This window comes from Homo sapiens, chromosome 20 (genome assembly GCF_000001405.40).
Source record: "Homo sapiens chromosome 20, GRCh38.p14 Primary Assembly".
NCBI classification, from domain to species: Eukaryota; Metazoa; Chordata; class Mammalia; order Primates; family Hominidae; genus Homo; species Homo sapiens.
The window spans coordinates 5,813,389-5,832,193 of NC_000020.11; the positions used below are offsets into that span (position 1 = coordinate 5,813,389).

General features: G+C 43.8%; 1 protein-coding gene across 6 annotated transcripts in view, besides 2 other annotated features; it reads left to right on the top strand.

Annotated features, from left to right (window-relative positions):
- Nucleotides 1-18,805, top strand: part of SHLD1 (shieldin complex subunit 1) — a 114,203-nt gene that overhangs the window by 63,196 nt on the left and 32,202 nt on the right. Inside the window, exon 3 of one of the 6 annotated variants that reach the window (XM_011529181.4) lies at nucleotides 4,097-7,777. The exons of the other annotated variants lie outside the window; for them this stretch is intronic. Within the exon in view, the coding sequence (XP_011527483.1) occupies nucleotides 4,097-4,143 (47 nt within the window). The 3' untranslated portion in view covers nucleotides 4,144-7,777. Of the gene's footprint in view, nucleotides 1-4,096; nucleotides 7,778-18,805 lie in introns of those variants that run through there. 6 annotated transcript variants of the gene reach the window in all.
- Nucleotides 9,440-9,579: an enhancer, noted in NCBI's record as "active region_17531". NCBI's record gives its function as "activates an Ori minimal core promoter by ATAC-STARR-seq in GM12878 lymphoblastoid cells {active_cell/tissue: GM12878}" and the evidence as "EXISTENCE:reporter gene assay evidence [ECO:0000049][PMID:35858748]".
- Nucleotides 13,465-13,966: an enhancer, noted in NCBI's record as "H3K4me1 hESC enhancer chr20:5807499-5808000 (GRCh37/hg19 assembly coordinates)". NCBI's record gives its function as "activates a minimal SCP1, AML or CMV promoter by ChIP-STARR-seq in naive H9 embryonic stem cells {active_cell/tissue: H9 hESC(naive)}" and the evidence as "EXISTENCE:reporter gene assay evidence [ECO:0000049][PMID:30033119]".

Here is an 18,805-nt window from a genome sequence, read left to right on the forward strand (position 1 = left end):
CTGAGGCAGGAGAATTGTTTGAACCCAGGAGGTGGAGGTGCAGTGAGCCGAGATTGTGCCACTGCACTCCAGCTTGGGTGACAGAGCAAGACTATGTCTCTAAATAAATAAATAATTCTAGTTCTTAGGATCATGGTTGGAAGGGGCAGAAGGGGTATATAGACACTAAAAGAAATCTGTAACAGCTGCTGCTGTGAAGAAAGGAAAGCAGTGTTAGAGATGAAGGGTGTGATTAAAATATGATGGCCTGGATAGGTTTCTCTGATAAGGCAATGTGTGTGTAGAGTCTGGAAGAATTTTGGTATTAAAGGAGTAAATTAATACATTTTTGTTTTGCTTGTAAACTTAATTCTCTGATGAAGTGCCTCTTCTATTACCTTTCTGTGGAAGAGGAGAAAATGCAAATATTGGAAAAGAGCAAGAGAAATAGTAACATACTTATGGCACTATTTCCTCCATTTATAGAGCAAAAATGAAACAAACAAAAAACTGAATTAAGTGGCTTTTAAACTAAGACACAAGCCTGCTTTTCTCAAACACCTTTTTCCTTTTCTTTCTTTTTTTTTTTTTTTTTTTTTTTTTGAGACAGGGTCTCACTCTGTCTCCCACGCTGGAGTGCAGTGGCACAGTCTCAGCTCACTGCAAACGCCGCCTCCCTGGTTCAAGCGATTCTCCTACCTCAGCCTCCAGAGTGGCTGGGACTACAGGCGTGTGCCACCATGCCCGGCTAATTTTTGTATTTTTTTTTGTAGAGATGGGGTTTCTCCATGTTGCCAAGGCTGGTCTTGAACTCCTGAGCTCAAGCGATCCACCCACCTTGGCCTCCCAAAGTGCTGGGATTATAGGCATGAGCCACCGCGCCCGACCCCTCAAAACACCTATTATTACTGCTTTTCCTTTATGGCTGCCTGGGTATCAATCCAAGAAGCATCTTTGAAAGTGTTAAATATTTACTTACACTGGCAAAAGTAAGCTTCATCTGTGAAATTGTCTTATAGGACCCAAGAATCTTAAAGAAAAATATTGACCACTCAGTGGTGGCTTATTTAGGAATATCTGTATATTTTTTGTTAAATGTTCTAGAATTTAAAATTCTTCTGAGCACAGTCCCTATAGAATTGAATTAATTCTTTTACATAATTCCAAAGTTGAAAAAGATGAATGACTTGTCTACTTTCAGCTAGATTTTAACTTTTGAGGTAAAATTGCTAACATCCTTTCAAGTAAGTTCTTTATTTCCAAAATTACTTTTTCTTTTTCTTCTTCTTTTTTTTTTTTTTTTTTTTTTTGAGATAGGGTCTCACTCTGTCACCCAGGCTGCAGTGCAGTGGTGCAATTTCCTCAGCTCACTGCAACCTCTGCCTCCCAGGCTCAAGTGATCCTCTCATCTCAGCCTCCTGAGTAGCTGGTACCACAGGCGCATGCCACCACACCCACTAATTTTTTGTAGAGACGGGTTTCATCATGTTGCCCAGGCTGGTCTCGAATTCCTGGGCTCAAGAGATCTGCCCACCTTGGCCTCCCAAATTGCTGGGATTACAGTCATGAACCACTGCGCCCGGCCCCAAAATTACTTTTTCTAATGACACACAACACCAGAGGATTGGAAGGAAACATCCAGAATTTGCTCCAGTGTTCTTTTTCATCACTTATGTTCCTTGGGGGTTTCTGTGGTTCCAGAAGCCATTCATGCCTGCGAGACAGCGGCCCTGGGGGAGAATTGAGCTTTTTTCTCTCCTGAGCAGATACGCTTGTTGGATTGCATTAAATGAGCCCCTTGAACCACTGTGCTCAGCCTTGTCTGCACATCGGCATCAACTGCAAGTTTTAATGATCTTGATGCCCGGGACTCATCTCCAGAAGCTCTGATTTAATTGGTATATAGGGCAGCCTGGGAATCAGGATTTTGTAAAAGCTCAAGTGCTTCTAATATGCAGCCACGCTGAAAAACCACTGCCTTAGAGCAGTGCTTCTCAAAATGTAATGTGACTATTAACCACCCAGGGATCCTATTAAAATACAGATTCTAATTCAGTAAAGTGTGAGGTGGAGGCCAATGATGTGTAAATAAGACCATAGAGCAGGAGTCAGCAGCCTCTGGCCTGTGGACCAATTCTGACCCTATGCCTGTTTTTGTACAGCCTGCAAGCTAATAATGACTTTCACATTTTAAAATGATTATTTTTAAAAAGAAGAAGATGTAACTGGGCATTGAAGGTCCACAAAGCCTAAAATATTTACTATCTGGCCCTATACAGGAAAAGTTTGCTAACCCATGATCTATCTTCATAAGGTTCCCCATAACCACTGAAAGTCTCTTCTCAGTATTATCCCACTTTATTGGATCCTATAGCCTCTTGTCTTAGGAATTCCCATACTTAGGAATTTGTTTTTATATAAAAGAAATGAGGTCTGGGTATAGTGGCTCATGCCTGTAATCCCAGCACTTTGGGAGGCCATGATGGGCTGATTGCTTGAGGCCGGGAGTTTGAGAGCAGTCTGGCCAACATGGCAAAATCCTGTCTCTACAGAAAATACAAAAATTATCCAGGTGTGGTGGTGTGTGCCTGTAATTCCAGCTACTCCAGAGGTTGAGGCATGAGAATCACTTGAACCCAGGAGACAGAGGTTGCAGTGAGCTGAGATCACACCACTGCACTCCAGTCTGGGTGACAGAGTGAGACTCTGCCTCAAAAAAACGAAAAAAAAAAAAAAAAAAGAAAGAAAAAGAAATGGCATAAACTGGTAGAATACACAGCCCATGAATTGTTGGTCATAAAATTAACTGCAAATGTAAATATTATTTTAAAATTTCAACTCTATATTTTTTAAAAATTATTTTGTGATTTTATTGTAAATGTAGTTCCAAAAAGACACATTTTCCTTGAATGACATTTTTTTTATTTTAAGTAAAGATTGCCAGGACAGAGAGAACCAAGAGTCACTGAAGATTCCCCTTCAGAAATAGTAAAGTTCTACTGCGTATATTCGGGGTTTGCCAACAATGATTTGAAAAATAAAAGGTTGCTTTCTACTGAAATGCTGAATGAATAAATTTGGGTGCATGAGAGATTCACTGTCTGTGGGTAAACAAGGGGCAGTGTGAGTCTTAAAAAGGAAGATTGTTGAGGGCAATATCTACATTTCACAGATGAGGAAACTGAGCTTTGGAAAATGCAAGTGAAAATCTGAGGACCATAGCGAAATAGTGGCAGGACGAGAACTGGAAGTTGCTCTCCTGATTTGTTTCCAGTTCATATTTTTTCTGTGATTCTGCATTCTACTCAAGAACTAATATTATGATTAAAATGCCTGACAGTATAAAAGGACCAGTTTAAAAACTATCACAGATATTCCTATTTGTCATACATTATGTTTTCCTTTAAGACCCTGAGGATAGGCTGGGCGCAGTAGCTCACACCTGTAATCTCAGCACTTTGGGAGGCCGAGGCGGGTGGTTCACTTGAGCTCAGGAGTTCAAGACCAGCCTGGGCTACATGGCAACCCTGTCTCTACAAAAAATACCAATAAATAGCTGGGCGTGGTGGTGCCTGCCTGTAGCCCCAGTTATCTTGGGGGCTGAGGCAAGAGGATCACTTGAGCTCAGGTGATGGAGGCTACAGTGAGCCGAGATTGTGCCACTGCACTCCAGCCTGGGTGACAAAGTGAGACCCTATCTCAATAAATAAATAAAATGAAAATAAAACCTTGAGGATATTTATAATATTAGCTGCTTTCACGTCCTTGTTTGTTAATTCCATCATCTTTATCATTTCAAGATCTGTTTCTGTTGACTGATTTTTCTCCTGATTATAGGTAATATTTTCCTGCTTCTTCCCATGTCTAGTAATTATGAGATGCTGGACTTAGTGATATTACATTGTAGAGTGTCTGTATTTTGCTGCCTTTTTATAAAAAGTATCAAAGTTTGTTATGGCAGGCAGTTAAATTACTTGCTTATCAACTTGATCCTTTCAAGACTTGTTTTTAAGCTCACGGGATATTTTCTCTCTCTCTCTCTCTCTCTCTCTCTCTCTCTCTCTCTGTGTGTGTGTGTGTGTGTGTGTGTGTGTGTGTGTGTGTGTTGGGATTACAGGCGTGAGCCACTGCATCCAGCCTAAACTCACTAGGGAGATTTTTTGAATAGCCTGTACTCTGTAGCTAGTTTAGCTTGCTACCAAGGTTTAGCCTTTCTGGGTCTGTACTGAATATCCCAGGTATTCAACAGTCATCTCACTCTGGCTGTCAGAACATGCATGTCTCCCAGCCCTGTGTGAGTTCTGGAAGTTGTTCAGCTCACAGCTCCCCTGGCTGTGCCTGGCATTATGACTTAGTGTTCACTGTGAAATACTCAAAAGAATCCCTATGCTGATTTCTGGAGCTCTTTATCTGTTTAGCTCCCTCATCTCCAGGACTCAGCTTCAGAAATTCCAGGCACCTGAAACTGATCTCTGTCTCTTTGCTGAGGAAACTGCTGTGAGGCAGTGAGATTGCTGTGCTCTGTTTGGATTCCCCTTCCCTGCGCTGTGGTCTAGGAAGTGCCTCCAGCAGAACACTGGGGGCAATTGTAGGCACATCTTGCGTCCCTTCTCTCAGTGATCAAAGTCCTATACTAACTGTGACCAGGATCTGAAAGCAGTTGTTTTTTGTCCAGTTTTCTTTTCTTTTTCTCCTTTTTTTCTTTTTCTTTCTTTTTTTTATTTTTTTATTTTTTTTGAGACAGCCTTGCTCTGTTGGAGTGCAGTAGCACTATCTCGGCTCACTGCAACCTCTGCCTCCCAGGTTCAAGCGATTCTCCTGCCTCAGCCTCCCAAGTAGCTGGGATTACAGACACCTGCCACCACGCCTGGCTAAGTTTTGTATTTTTAGTAGAGATGGGGTTTCACCATGTTGGCCAGGCTGCTCTAGAACACCTGACCTTAAGTGATCCACCCGCCACAGCCTCCCAAAATACTGGGATTACAGGCGTGAGCCACTGCACCAGGCCATTTTGTCCAGTTTTATAGCCATTTATAGCAGAAGGGCAAATTTGGTATAGTTAACTCTGCCATTGCCAGAGGCTGTTCACTTAGATTTGTCTTGTAACATTTTTCTGTAGTAAGTAAAGGCAGGGATCCTGTACCCATTTTATAGGTTAAATAATGCAGAGTTGCCAAGAAATAAGAGGGTTGGAATCACATACTGGGTTGGTTGGTAGGTAGGTCATATGATCCAGGAACTCTTGGTCCTTGCAAGGAGATAGGAGGAAATGCTCAAATTTGTCTCCCCAAATGGGGGCCTGGGTTGAGGTTTATAAGCATATGGTAATGAGGCGTGAATGAGGTGACTGGATTGATCTTGGAATGAGGTGATTGATTGGATCTTACAATAAGGCGATGATGTTGGGGGTCATGATCTAACTGGAATCCACCATGGGGTGACTCCAGGGCTCAATCTGATTGGATCCTGGATCCTGCCATGCAGTGTCCACTTCTGTTTTGTTTTGTTTTGTTGAGATGGAGTCTTGCTCCATTGTCCAGGCTGGAGTGCAGTGGCATGATCTCAGCTCACTGCAACCTCTGCCTCCTGGGTTCAAGCAATTCTTGGGCCTCAGCCTCCCAAGTAGCTGGGACTACAGGTGTGCGCCATCACACCCAGCTGATTTTTGTGTTTTTAGTAGAAACAGGTTTCTCCATGTTGGCCAGGCTGGTCTTGAACCCCTGACCTCAAGTGATCTGCCCGCCTCAGCCTCCCAAAGTGCTGGGATTACAAGTGTGAGCCACCGTGCCCCGCCAGTGTCTACTTCTTAATTCAGTCCCACTCCTCGGTCTGAGCACTTAGGTTCCCCCTAGTGGAACTAAGCATGGTTGCATGCTTGGTTCATCTGGGCATGCTCAGGTTATGAGACCTGAGGGTCCGTGACAACTGAAAAACAACTCACAACTTTGTTACGTAAAAGTTGAACCAGATTGATCTGGTGTGACCACACTCTTACCCTTATCTGTTATTTCTCATTCCAAACTTTGCTTATTAACTGTAATGTTTGCCTTTGTAATTGCTTCACTTTCATCACATATAAGAAGTACTCAATGAATGCTTACTGATTTCATGCACTGTAGGAACAACACCGACTATTGTCATGTTGGCTGTTGTCATATTAAAACATCATGTAGGCCAGTCATGGTGGTTCACATCTGTAATCCCAGCACTTTGGGAGGCTGAGACAGGAGGATCCTTTGAGGTCAGGAGTTCGAGACCAGCCTGGGCAACACAGCAAGACCCTGTTTCTACAAAAAATAAAAAAATTAGCCAGGCATGGTGGAGTACACCTTTAGTCCTAGCTACTTGGGAGGTTGAGGCAGGAGGATGGCTTGAGCCCAGGAAGCCAGGGCTGCAGTGAGCCATGATGGTGCAACTGCACTCCAGCCTGAATGACAGCGTGAGACCCAGTCTCTTAAAAACAACAACAATAAAATCATCATGTAACTTGCTAAGACAGCCACACCTTTGTGTTGTGCCTAAAAAATTACTGAGTTCTGGTGGATACATAATGAGGACTTGACAGTGTTTTTTTTTTGTTTTTTGTTTTGTTTTTAGAAGGAGTCTTGCTCTGTCGCCCAGACAGGCTGGAGTGCAGTGCTGTGATCTCAGCTCACTGCAACCTCCATCTCCTGGGTTCAAGTGATTATCCCGCCTCAGCCTCCCCAGTAGCTGGGATTACAGGCGTGTGCCACCATGCCTGGCTGATTTTTCTATTTTTAGTAGAGACAAGGTTTCACCATGTTGGTTGTCCAGGCTTGTCTCCTGACCTCAGGTGATCCGCCCACCTCGGCCTCCCAAAGTGCTGGGATTATAGGCGTGAGCCACCATGCCCAGCCAGTCTTATTAAATGCTTCAAATATATGTCACATTCAGCTTCATGTCCCTGATGGTTCCCTGCACCATGCTACGCCAATAAACACTCAACGGATACTCAACGGATACAAAAGAGTATTTGGTAGATCTTCAGAGACGGAAAGCAAATTCAGTGCCTTTATTCAGCAAAAATTCAATGAGCAGCTGCTATGTGCTGGACACTGTGCTAGCCCCTGGGGATGAAGTGTGAATTAAAGGCAGTGTCTGCCCTCTTGAAGTTCACCACCCAGTGATAGAACACCCAAGAAACCAGCCTCCAAGATGTTCAGATTAAAAGAAATTCTTCCACAGTGACATTTTCACCAGGCAAACTCAGAGTTGTTTGACATGAGAAGGTTTAAAAAAGGATAGTTGTGAAAGACCAGGCAAAGTTCACAAAGTGAAGAAGGGAAAATATTATTTCAGACTGATATTAAATGATGGCCTAGCCTGCTGCCATACTGTCTCACAGGGAAAAGTTTTATTTATGTCTCCTTTGATCTTTTCTCCTTTTTGTCTCTAGGTTTGATGTACAAGCTTTAGCTTGGGCCTTTGATTTACAGTGTTCTGGAGAAAGAGACCAGGGATGACAAAGCCAACCAGGCTGTTACCTAAAAACCTGATATATTGTCCTAGATCTAGGCTGTCTTAGAGCTACACAAAGAATTTCCAGCAGACTGCTCAGGAAGAGCCTGCTGGGAAGGCAGTTCCCCTAAAGTCCCATAAAATAAAGAGCTTCCCAGTCCTTCTTTGATATCCACGGTTTGCTTAAGTATTGGATGTTAAGGCAGCAACTTCTAGTCCTGTGGAAAATCTTTTAATATCTGTGCTTAATCAACTGAGAAAATAAAAATTTATAGATCCATCAATGACAAATATATTAAACATGGGGCTTTAAAAATTGCCTGGAAGTCTGTGACCAACATTTTTTTAGCCTGTAAAATATAGTTTGTTTAAACTTATTAAGGCTGGGCGTGGTGGTGGCTCACGCCTATAATCCCAGCACTTTGGGAGGCTGAGGTGGGCGGATCACCTGAGGTCAGGAGTTCGAGACCAGACTGGCCAACATGGTGAAACCCCGTTTCTACTAAAAATACAAAAATCAGCCGGGCGTGGTGGTGTGCACCTATAATCCCAGCTGCTCAGGAGGTTGAGGCACGAGAATCGCTTGAACCAGGAGGCGGAGGTTGCAGTGAGCTGAGATCACACCACTGCACTCCAGCCTGGGTGACAGAGCATGACTCTATCTCAAAACAAAACAAAACAAAACAAAAAAACTTGATTATAGTATACTGGATATTGAGGGATAGGGAATTTAGTTATCAGCTGGGAGTAATAACAAATTTCTGGAAAACTCAAACATCGATCATATCAGAGTTTCTGAGGATCAGAAATCCAGGAGGGGCTTAATAGGGTAGTTCTGGCTCAGGGTCTGTCATGAGGTGGCCGCCAAGTGAAACCTTCCCTGGAGCTGGAAGAGCTGCTTCAGAGAAGACTGCCACCGGATGCTTGGCTGGAGTTTTCAGTTTTTCTCCACATGGGCCTCTCCCAGGGCTGCTGAGTGTCCTTGAACTGTGGCAGTCAGCTTCCCCACAGTGAGTCGTGAGAGAGGGAGACAGCCAAACAGAAGCCCTGGAGTCTTTCATGATCTCATCTCAGACATGATGGGCCATCTCCTCTGCTGCACTCGACAGTCATACAGACCAACCCTGGGACCACATGCAAGGGGACCACCTGAGGGTGTGAGTGCTAGGAGGTGAGGAGCCATCCTGGATGCTGGCTACCTCATAGGTGACTGGCCAGGCAAAGTTTATTAACTAAAAGTTCTTTGTGTTGACTCAGGTGAACTAACATTTACTGCTTCAGTTGTTCATTTAATTTAATTTTCTTGAGAGATTTAAAGTAAGTGCTCAAAGCCAGGCATGGTGGCTCATGCCTGTAATCCCAGCACTTTGGGAGCCCAAGGCGGGCAGATCACCTGAGGTCAGGAGTTTGACACCAGCCCAGCCAACACGATGAAACCCCATCTCTACTAAAAATACAGAAAATTAGCCGGGCGTGGTGACGGGTGCCTGTAGTGCCAGCTACTTGGGAGGCTGAGGCAGGAGAATCACTTGAACCTGGGAGGCAGAGGCTGCAGTGAACCAAGATCGCACCACTGCACTCCAGCCTGGGCTACAGAGTGAGACTCTATCTCAAAAAAATTAATTAATTAAAAATAAATAAATGAATAAAGTGAGTGCTCAGAGCTGTGTTGCTTTGTTGTGTGCATGTGTGTGAGTGTGTGTGCTTGTGTCCCTAAGTCCCAGCAGTGAGACAAATTGTGTGGTTCCTTATCGTACCTGAGAAGCAGGGAGCAGCCACCAAGAAGACTGTTACAGTGGGTGAGTTGTTTATGCCCTGCTTAAGGCCAGCCCCTCCACTTAATCTTCATCTCCTCTCTCCTAGTCATGGACTTCACACCCACCGTTAACCCCTCACTCCTGCATTATCAATCTTTCTCTCTTGACTGGCTCATTCTTGGCTACATACAAAGATGATGTAATATTTCCCATCTAAAAAAAAAAATCCATGACCCCAGGTTCCTCTTTAGGTCCTGCCCTGTTTCTCTGTTCCTTTTTATAGCAGAAGGCTATGAAAGATGTGTCTTATTTGTCTATACTCACTCTCTCCACCTCTTACCTTCCCGATTTCTCTCCAACCCACTCCAGTCACACTTTTGCCTTCCCTCCCCCACCCCGCCCCCACCCCCATATATACTCCACCACTGCTATTGTTATGGAACTGTGGTGTCTTTTGTCCTTCCAAATCCAGTGGTCGGTTCCCAGTCCTTTGTATTTGACCAAGCAGCAGCGTTTTACACTGTTGATCCCCCCCTTCCCGGATACCTGTTCTTCCCTTGGCTCCTGGGACCCCTCCCTCAGCTTCTCCTCCTGCCCTCACTGGCTGCTGTTTCTCATCCTCCTCTGCTGGCTCTTCAAGGCACTTCTTACTGACCTCAGGCCTCAGGCCTCTTCCCTCCACCCCTCTGCCTTCAGTCCCTTTTGTATTTTTTTGTAGAGACAGGATTTTGGCATGTTGGCCAGATTGGTCTCAAACTCCTGACCTCAAGTGATCCACCTGACTCGGCTTCCCAAAGGCATGAGTCATAGTGCCTGGTCTAGCATAGACTTGTTTTTTGTTGTTTTTTGTTTTTTTTTTTTTGAGATGGAGTTTTGCTGTTGTCACCAGGCCGGAGTGTAATGACGCGATCTCAGCTCACTATAACCTCTGCCTCCTGGGTTCAAGCAATTTTCCTGCCTCAGCCTTCCTAGTAGCTGGGATTACAGGCGCCCGCCACCACACCCAGTTAATTTTTGTATTTTTAGTAGAGACAGGGTTTCACCATGTTGGCCAGGCTGGTCTCGAACTCCTGTCCTCAAGTGATCTGCCCACCTCAGCCTCCCACACTGTTGGGATTACAGGCATGAGTCACCGCGCCCAGCCAAAAATCTCATAATGTTCTAAGAAAGTTTACACAGTTGTGTTGGGCTGCATTCAAAGCCATCCTGGGTTGCATGGGCAAGCTTCCTCCACTGCCTGCATCTGTCCCCATAGGCCACCTCTAGAATGTGTTCCAAATAGAGTAATGTCTCACCACCTCCTCCACTCTACCCAAACCCCAGCCACCATCTTCCACAACTCCTGCAGTAGCCTCGTACCTGGGCTCCAGTCCCATGCTTGCCCTCCTTGGTCTCCTTTCCAGCAGCAGCACCAGAATGTCACTTCCACCTGCTTAAAACCTTTCAGTGCGCTTAGGACACAATCCAAGCTGCTCCATCAGCTCTCTGGGCCCCACAGGATCTGGCTTCTCCCTGCCTGGCTGTGACTGCTTCTCCCACCTCTTCCCAGCCGCACTGGCCTTCTTTCTGGTCTTCACACATAAGCTCACTCCCACCTCCGGGATTTTGCACTTGCTGGTCCCTTAGTCTGGAATGTTCTTCCACTACAGCAAGACCTGTTCCCTCACTTTCTTCAGATCTCTGCTCAGATGTGACTTCCAAGAAGCCTTCTTGCCTTCCCCATCCAACCTGGGCCTCCATTCACCTCGCTCTCTATCCCCTTCCTCTATTTTATCTTTCATTATGGCATTTATCACTGCCTGTGGTTAAATTCCTTATTTATTTGTTTATTTTCTGTTTCACCACTGGAATATAAGCTCCACAGAGCAAGTAGCTTGTCTCTCTTGTTCACTCCTGTATCTCCAGCACCTAGAATAAGCCTGGCATACAGTAGCTGCTCAGGAAATTTGTGCAAAATGATGAATAATTAATTATTATTTCTCTTCTATGATCATTGAAGAGCTATGTTTTTGTTGTTGTTTGTTTTTTTTTTTTTTTTGGGACAAACCTGGCTCCCAACCTCAACTTCAGGAGATGAAGGTTGCATTTTTAAGGGAAAAAAATGTACCCAAGGAACAATTTGATGACAAAATCTCCAATTTTCTGTAACATGGATTGAAGTTTGTGTCTTCCCAGTTTTATTCGAAGATCCTAAAATTCATACTGCTTTTTCCAAATCCTAACATTTAGATTGTTTTTCAAATCTAAAGTTGTGGATGAATTCTTGTGACTTCTGTACGTACTTTGACTGCTACGGTCACTCGAAGCTTCCTTTTCAAAACCACAGGATGGCTTAGCTAAACCATGTCCTTTCCAAACTACTTTACTGAGTCCCTCCTGTTATACCCCAAAGAGAAGATGTACTCCTTTATTAGCAGTTGGAACCTGAAAGAATAAATAATTCAAAATAGATTCAGCCTTTGTTGGTTTCTATGACTATGAAGGTATGGAACATCATTCATTAACAAGTGTCGTCGGCTGACTGCCTTCTCTTGCACATAAAAAATGAGCATGCATATAATCGCAGCAACCTGCCTTTGCTGCAGAGTGAACAGCTTCAGAAATGGACCATTCTGTCTCATCCTGTCTTTACATATGTGGGACCCAGCATGAGGCTATTCAGAAACAACAGAATCAGGTCGAGGCCAGTCAATACAGTCGGTAGCTGTTATTGAATGCCCACTGGGTGGCTGCAGGCTCCTGGCTGACCACGTTTCTAAGAGCTGGTTAATGGAGTCCTCGTTACAGTCTTGGTTAAGCTAGCACATTTAACAGCCCGCAGTGCAAATGAAAAATACATAGGTCTGACTAGGGAGCATTTTCCCTTTCTGTCTTTTTCCGTAAAGAGAGGAAAGTGATTGCTCTGGAAGTTTCTGACATTAATAGCCATGTTGGCATGTGGCTGTAAGACAACCTGAGTTAAGATGGTGATATGCCACTTAAAATAACAAGGCCGGCACAGTGGCTCATGCCTGTAATCCCAGTGCTTTGGGAGGCCAAGGTGGGAGGCTGGGCTTAAGCCCAGGAGATCAAGGCTGTAGTGAGCTATGATTGTGCCATTGCGCTCCTGCCTGGGTGACAGAGCAGAACCCTGTCTCTAAAAGAAAAAAGTAATAGGGTGTGCTGTGCTATTGTTACATTTATAAACCACTCCTTATTTTCCAGAGCATGGTTGTTTTTATGATCTTATCTGCTGCAAGAGACCTTAAATGATATTGATCAATATTTTCCTGACAGTGTAAGTTTTCATTCTCAGAACTGAGTATTATGCAACTGACGACATGGGGAGTGGGGCTTGAATTTTCTGGACCACTCAGGGTTGGGATGTGAGTGCCACTGGAGAGCCCCTTGGCCCACAGGAAGGAAGGGCTGCACATGGGTATAGGGCCACACGGAGGTACTGTATGAGTGGTGGGAGGCCAGCTGGCATCAAGCACTGTTCTCTACCATCAGTGGGTGTGAATACGACTGCAGGTTATTTTTCTGTGCTGTTCAGGTTTTGCTTTTATTTCTCTTTTGTTGGTCTGATCAAGCTGTTTATTGTTTGCAGATGGTAACAAAATATAATTAAGTTGTTTGTTGTTGAAGCTCCTGTAGGAAAAAATTATCTAGTTTTATCAACTCTGTAACCACAGCCCTCCTTTTCCCATATTGAAATAGCTATTTATATGATTTTTTTATAATGTGAAGTTCTTAGGAACATAGTTATTATAGCAGAGCTAATTGTAATATGTTTGAATGCAAGGATCCAAATCATTGAGGATTACTGCCATTCTGATACCTGTACAAAATTATGCACTGTCAAAAAAAAAAAAAAGAAAAAGATTATGCATTGTCATTGAGGCAGTTTGTATAGGATAGCAAGATCTTCTCCAAGTGGCTTTCCTTTGACAGTCCTCACAGATGGCTTTCCTGTGAGTTGCCATCACAGTCCCTTGCCTCCCCCAACATCTCCAGCTCTGAAGTCCTCCTCCTTGACCTCAATCGGAGTAGTCAGTTCAGTGCAGTAGTTGAGAATATGACTCTGGTACCGGACTCTCCTGGGTTTGAATCTGAACTTCACCACTTACTAGTTTGGGATGTTGACCAAGTCACTTGGCCTCTCTGTGCCTCAGTTTCCTCATCTGTTAAATACGATGCCTCATACAGAATCTGCATGGGTTAAATGAATTCTGTGAAAGCCTGGGGAAGAGGGCCTGGCACGCATAGGTTTCACGTAAGTGCTGTGGTCTGTGGCTAGTCTGTCATCGCCCCTCCCTCATATCCCCCCCTTCACCACATCACCACCTACCATCCCCCAGTCCCCTCTTTCTCCCAGACCCTCCCTCTCTGCATTTGCCCCTAATGCCGTCAGTAGCCCCCACTCCCACCCCATTTCCTTGCTGCTTGACTGTATCAGCTCAAGTCCTGGTGGAGAAGAGATGAAACAGTCCAACCAGGTAAAGTGAGGAGAGCTTAATGAAGAGCTTATGTACAAAGGCATGAGTGGGCGTGGCACCCACAGGGAAAGCACAGAGCCTGGGGCCCGCCACCATGAGAGCGTGTGCTCGCAGCAGCTGTGTGGAGGGGCTGTCTTGATGCGAGCTGTGGGCCTGCTGGAGGGATGCCGCCAGCCCAGGAAGGGATCCAAGGATGTAAATAGTCCAACCTTGCCTCCTCCCTCCTTCCACCTCCTGCCAGGCCTCCTCTTGGCTCCCAACCCGAAGCTGGAGGGCAAGGGCAGCCATCAGCCATAGTCCACGTAGTCCGCCTCCCAAGGGCAGAGCAGGGTGGAGACGGGGAGAGCAGATATAGACCAGAGGTCAAGTGGAAGAGCTCTGCACAGTGCCCTATGGCACCCCCAGTCTGCAGCCCCCACCCAGCCTGGAGTCATGGGCCCCCGCAGTCTGGCCCACCTGCCTTCACCCACAGGCCCCCCATCTCTGTCCCCATACCCTCCTCCCCTGCCATTCTGCCAGTCTGCAGCCTGCTCACCAAATACACAATGACCTTTGCACTTCTTTTCAACTTTTCACACCTCTTCCCTTTCCCAGGAGTGCCTTTCCCTCCTAGGCCTGGAGAAATGCTATATAGTCTTAGGATCCAGCCTGAATCCCCTTGCTCTCTGCAGATTTCCCTTGCCTCCAGTTAGCTTCCCTTACGGCTGATTCGACACGTACTTCATTACAGTGCGTACTTCACTAGGGTGCACTTCATGCTGTGGTCTTGCCAGTTATTTGTGGACCACTTCCTCTATAGACCAGATCATTCACTCTTGTGGGTAGAAACTACACCATGGTCATCTCTGCATTCCTTTGTGGTACCTCCAAGTAGTTGAAATAAAAACAAGTGCTCAAAAAATTAGTTGCATTGAAATGACTGATGCAAAGATACGATGAATATCATTTACTTGGTTAAAGGTGGTGTTAGTTATAAAGAGTAGAGTCAGCATATTCAACACTGATTAACTATATTGCATGTTGTATGTAACCAAGTCACTCCCTAACTTGCCTCCCCCCAACATACATCTAGATTTAGTCACTGTCATCTCCTCTGGGGACACCCTTTGTGTCACTTATTAGAATTTATCTGTATAATTATTTATCCTGGGTTCTACCTCCTCTTCTAGATCTTTAACTCCGTAAGGGCAGGGGCCATATCTGTGCTAGTCATCACAGAGTCTCTAGACCTTAGAACAGTGTGATAGGTCTTTCATAGCTGTTTGTTGAATGAATAAATATGTTGGTCATAATACATTATAACATATCGTAACCTTAAAGGCCTGCAGAATGGGGACTCTAGGTGCCATGGAAGGGCCTATGAAGTTCCTTTCCATGCCCCTCAAACCATTTCCTGCTGCTGGAAGGAGTCATTTCTTGATGACTCCATTCCCACATCATTAGAGCAGCCACCCTTTCCACTTGCATGGAAGTAGGTCTTGTACCAAGAAGAACAAATTTCCTTTTCCTTCTGTCACCATAAGGAATATAGTAATATTGGGGGAATTATTCTTTTTCTGCAATTCTTTTGCTTCGCATTTCACTGTCCTTATTGTGCTGATTTGCAGTTTCTTAAATTGATGGTGCCAAGTAAAATATATTTGATTGTAGTTTGTACCATTTCAAATCGATTTAGTAATTTTGAAGATGTGTAATAGGCATTATCAGGTCTTAAAATTGAAAATTGGCATGATTTTATGTCATTTTATATCATTTCACTAATGTGATAGTCTAGCCAGATTCTATTATTATTGTCATTATTATTATTTTGAGATAGGATCTCTCTTTGTTACCCAGGCTGGAGTACAGTGGTGCAATGTTGGCTCACTGCAGCCTCAACATCCCCAGGCTCAGGTGATTCTCCCACCTCAGCCTCCTGAGTAGCCGAGACTACAGGCATGCACCACCATGCCTGGCTCATTTTTTGAATTATTTTTGTAGAGACAGAGTCTCACTATGTTGCCCAGGCTGGTCTCAACTCCTGGGCTCAATCTATCTGCCCGCCTTGGCCTCCCAAAGTGCTGGGATTACAGGTGTGAGCCATCATGCCCAGCCAGATTTTATTATTAATTAATGAGTTCAGGGAGTTCTTTTTAAAGGTCACAAATGATGTTTAATAACATGAAAAAAGATTATCTTTTGGAAACAGAAAGTAGCAACATAGCCTACAAGCCTTAATTTATTTAAGCCCTACTATTACTCACTAATCTTTTTATTTGAGGTTTAACATTCTGACCAATATGTTCTGGAAAGGAAATTAAACTCAACATTTGAGATAACAGAGCTCTTATGAAGCTTATATACTGGAGATATTGGAAAAAGATACTAATCTCCCTCTCCCCTCAAAAAGCAAGAAAGCAATTAGTCTGGAGGGACTGTCTAAATAGGATTGTCTAAAGGAAAACCTGCAAAAAAATTGGGCAGATGGTCTTTATAAACTTAGAGAAGATTAACTCCGCAGCCATGTTGTAACAGGTTTTTACGGATGCATTTGTTGCAAATTAATTGCCTCTTTTCGGCCTTAATAACCTAAATTTAAGTTTGGGGGTTTGCATAGAAGCAATTCAAAGCTCAATACTGTCATGTTTTTCATTAATTTACCAGTGAGTGGTTGGGTTTGTATGAATAATTTGATTTATTTTGAAGTTAAATGTAATTATAAGTTGTGTTTTGCTAGGCAGCTTGTCCTTTATAATAGAATTTGCCTTGAACTACAATATAATTTATTCTACCCTTCTTGGTTAACAGCCTCTTCTTTAGGAAAAAAAAACACAGGCAATATCTGTGAAGATAATATTTTTAAGGTAGATGCAATAGAATGGTTTGGGAGTCTTTCAGTCTTGGGTGATAGAAGATCAGATTTGGTACAGATCTGGTATAGAACCCCATCATTAGGACTAAAAGCAGGCAAAAGCAGAACTGGGCCCTCAGTTCTCAGATAAGCTGTTATACCTATTTGCAGTTTCTTCAAAAGTGAGCATACATAGACAGTTCTACTCCCAGGTAAGTACCTAAGAGAAATGCATCCGTATGTTCATGGAGAGACATGCACTGAAATAGTCACAGCAACACTCATAACGGCCCTAACTAGAAACTCTATACATGCCCTTTATCAGATAAATAAATGGTAGTGTGTTCACATCACGGAATACTATTCATCATTGAAAATGAACAAACTGCCACTGTATGCATATAAGGTTGAGTGAAAGAAGCCAGATAGCAAAGAGTACATACTGCATGATTCCATTTATATAAAGTATAAAAGACAAAGCAATGTGGCCAGATGCGGTGGCTCACGCCTGTACTCCCAGCACTTTGGGAGGCTGAGGTGGGCAGATCACCTAAGGTCGGGAGTTCTAGACCAGCCTGACCAACATGGACCAACATGACCAACCCTGTCTCTACTAAAAATACAAAATTAGCCAGGCGTAGTGGCACATGCCTGTAATCTCAGCTACTCAGGAGGCTGAGGCAGGAGAATTGCTTGAACCCAGGAGGCAGAGGTTGCAGTGAGCCGAGATTGCGCCATTGCACTCCAGCCTGGGCAACAAGAGTGAAACTCCGTCTTAAAAAAAAAAAAAAAAAAGCAATGTAGGTGTTAGAATGGTGGTAAGTCTTAGAAGGTAATAGTTGAAAGGAGGCAAAAGGAGGTCTTCTGGGGTTCTGGTGCTGTTCTGTTTCTTGATCTCAGTGCTGATTATACTGGGTATATTCAGTTTGTAAAAGTTAATAGAGCTTATGATTTAGTATACCATGAATATTATATACCATGATTTGTAACTCAGCTCCTCTTATTACCGCTTAAATTTTATTTATTTATTTAATTTTTTAGGGACTACATTATGCATTAGGCACTTTGATATACGCACGTTATAATTTAATAAAAAGTAAAAAAAAATCAGTTTGAAAATAAGGCATTGCAATAATTTAAGGAAGAGTTGGTCACCATCCTTCTGTGCTTCACCTCTAGGTGGGTGCTTCGTGCTGGCTTATGAGAAAAGGAACACCACAGCAGTGCAGACCATTGAAAATGACAGTGATCCAAGGTTAAAGGTCACACAAGTATTTAATTGTCTTTAAGCAGAACTTTATTACCTACCAAAAGAAACTGTTGAGATACTTCAGCCTAGCCATGGTCTTTTTGTGAAGAACCATAAGCATTTATCCAACTCCCCACCTCCTTTGGGGGTCAACTCAGGTTTCTTGGCTCAGTGAAGTCTTTATAGCACCTCTAGCTTCTGTTCTCTGTAAGCTGTAATTTACAGCCATCATCAAAAGAGCATAGTTTAGCGGTTAATACTACTTTACGTATTTTATTTCTTTTGAATATTCCTTGACCACAAGTTCGTTGAAGCCAACAGCCCACCTTTCATATCTCCATTCAGGAGATATGAAAGGCTGTGCTGTTGCTTACATTTCTGGAACCATGTGGTGACTGGCCGGCAAACATTTAATAAATACTGGACAAGTGATGGACTGTGGCCTTGAAGAAACAGGAAGATGAACAGAAGCCCTACCTGAGGCAGCAGCAAAGATTCGCTTTTAAGTGACAGTAGTTGTGTTGCTTCCCTGGAGTTGTCTCCATTTCAGTTGCCGAATCCCTTTGATCTCTCTCTCTCTCTCTCTCTCAATTTTCTTGTTTACATGTTCATTGTAGAAGATTAGGAAATGTGAAATGTGAAAAAAGCACAAAGAAGAAAAAGGTAAACACTCATAATCCTTCTACAGAGGGAAGCTCTTACTATTTTGTTGTATTTTTTTTTCTTCTTTGGCTTTTCCTATAATACATGTGCTTTCATGCTCTCTGCCCCGTGTTCCCCACCCTTTCTTTTCATTTCTTTCTTTGAAACGGAGCCTTGCTCTTTTGCCCAAGCTGGAATGCTGTGCAGCTGTCTTGGCAACCTCCGCCTACCTGCTTCAAGTGATCCTCCCACCTCAGCCTCGCAGGTAGCTGGGATTACAAGCGCGCACCACTGCGCCCAGCAAATTTTTGTATTTTCAATAGCGATGGGGTTTCACCATGTTGGCCAGGCTGGTCTCAAACTCCTGGCCTCAAGTGATCTGCCCACCTTG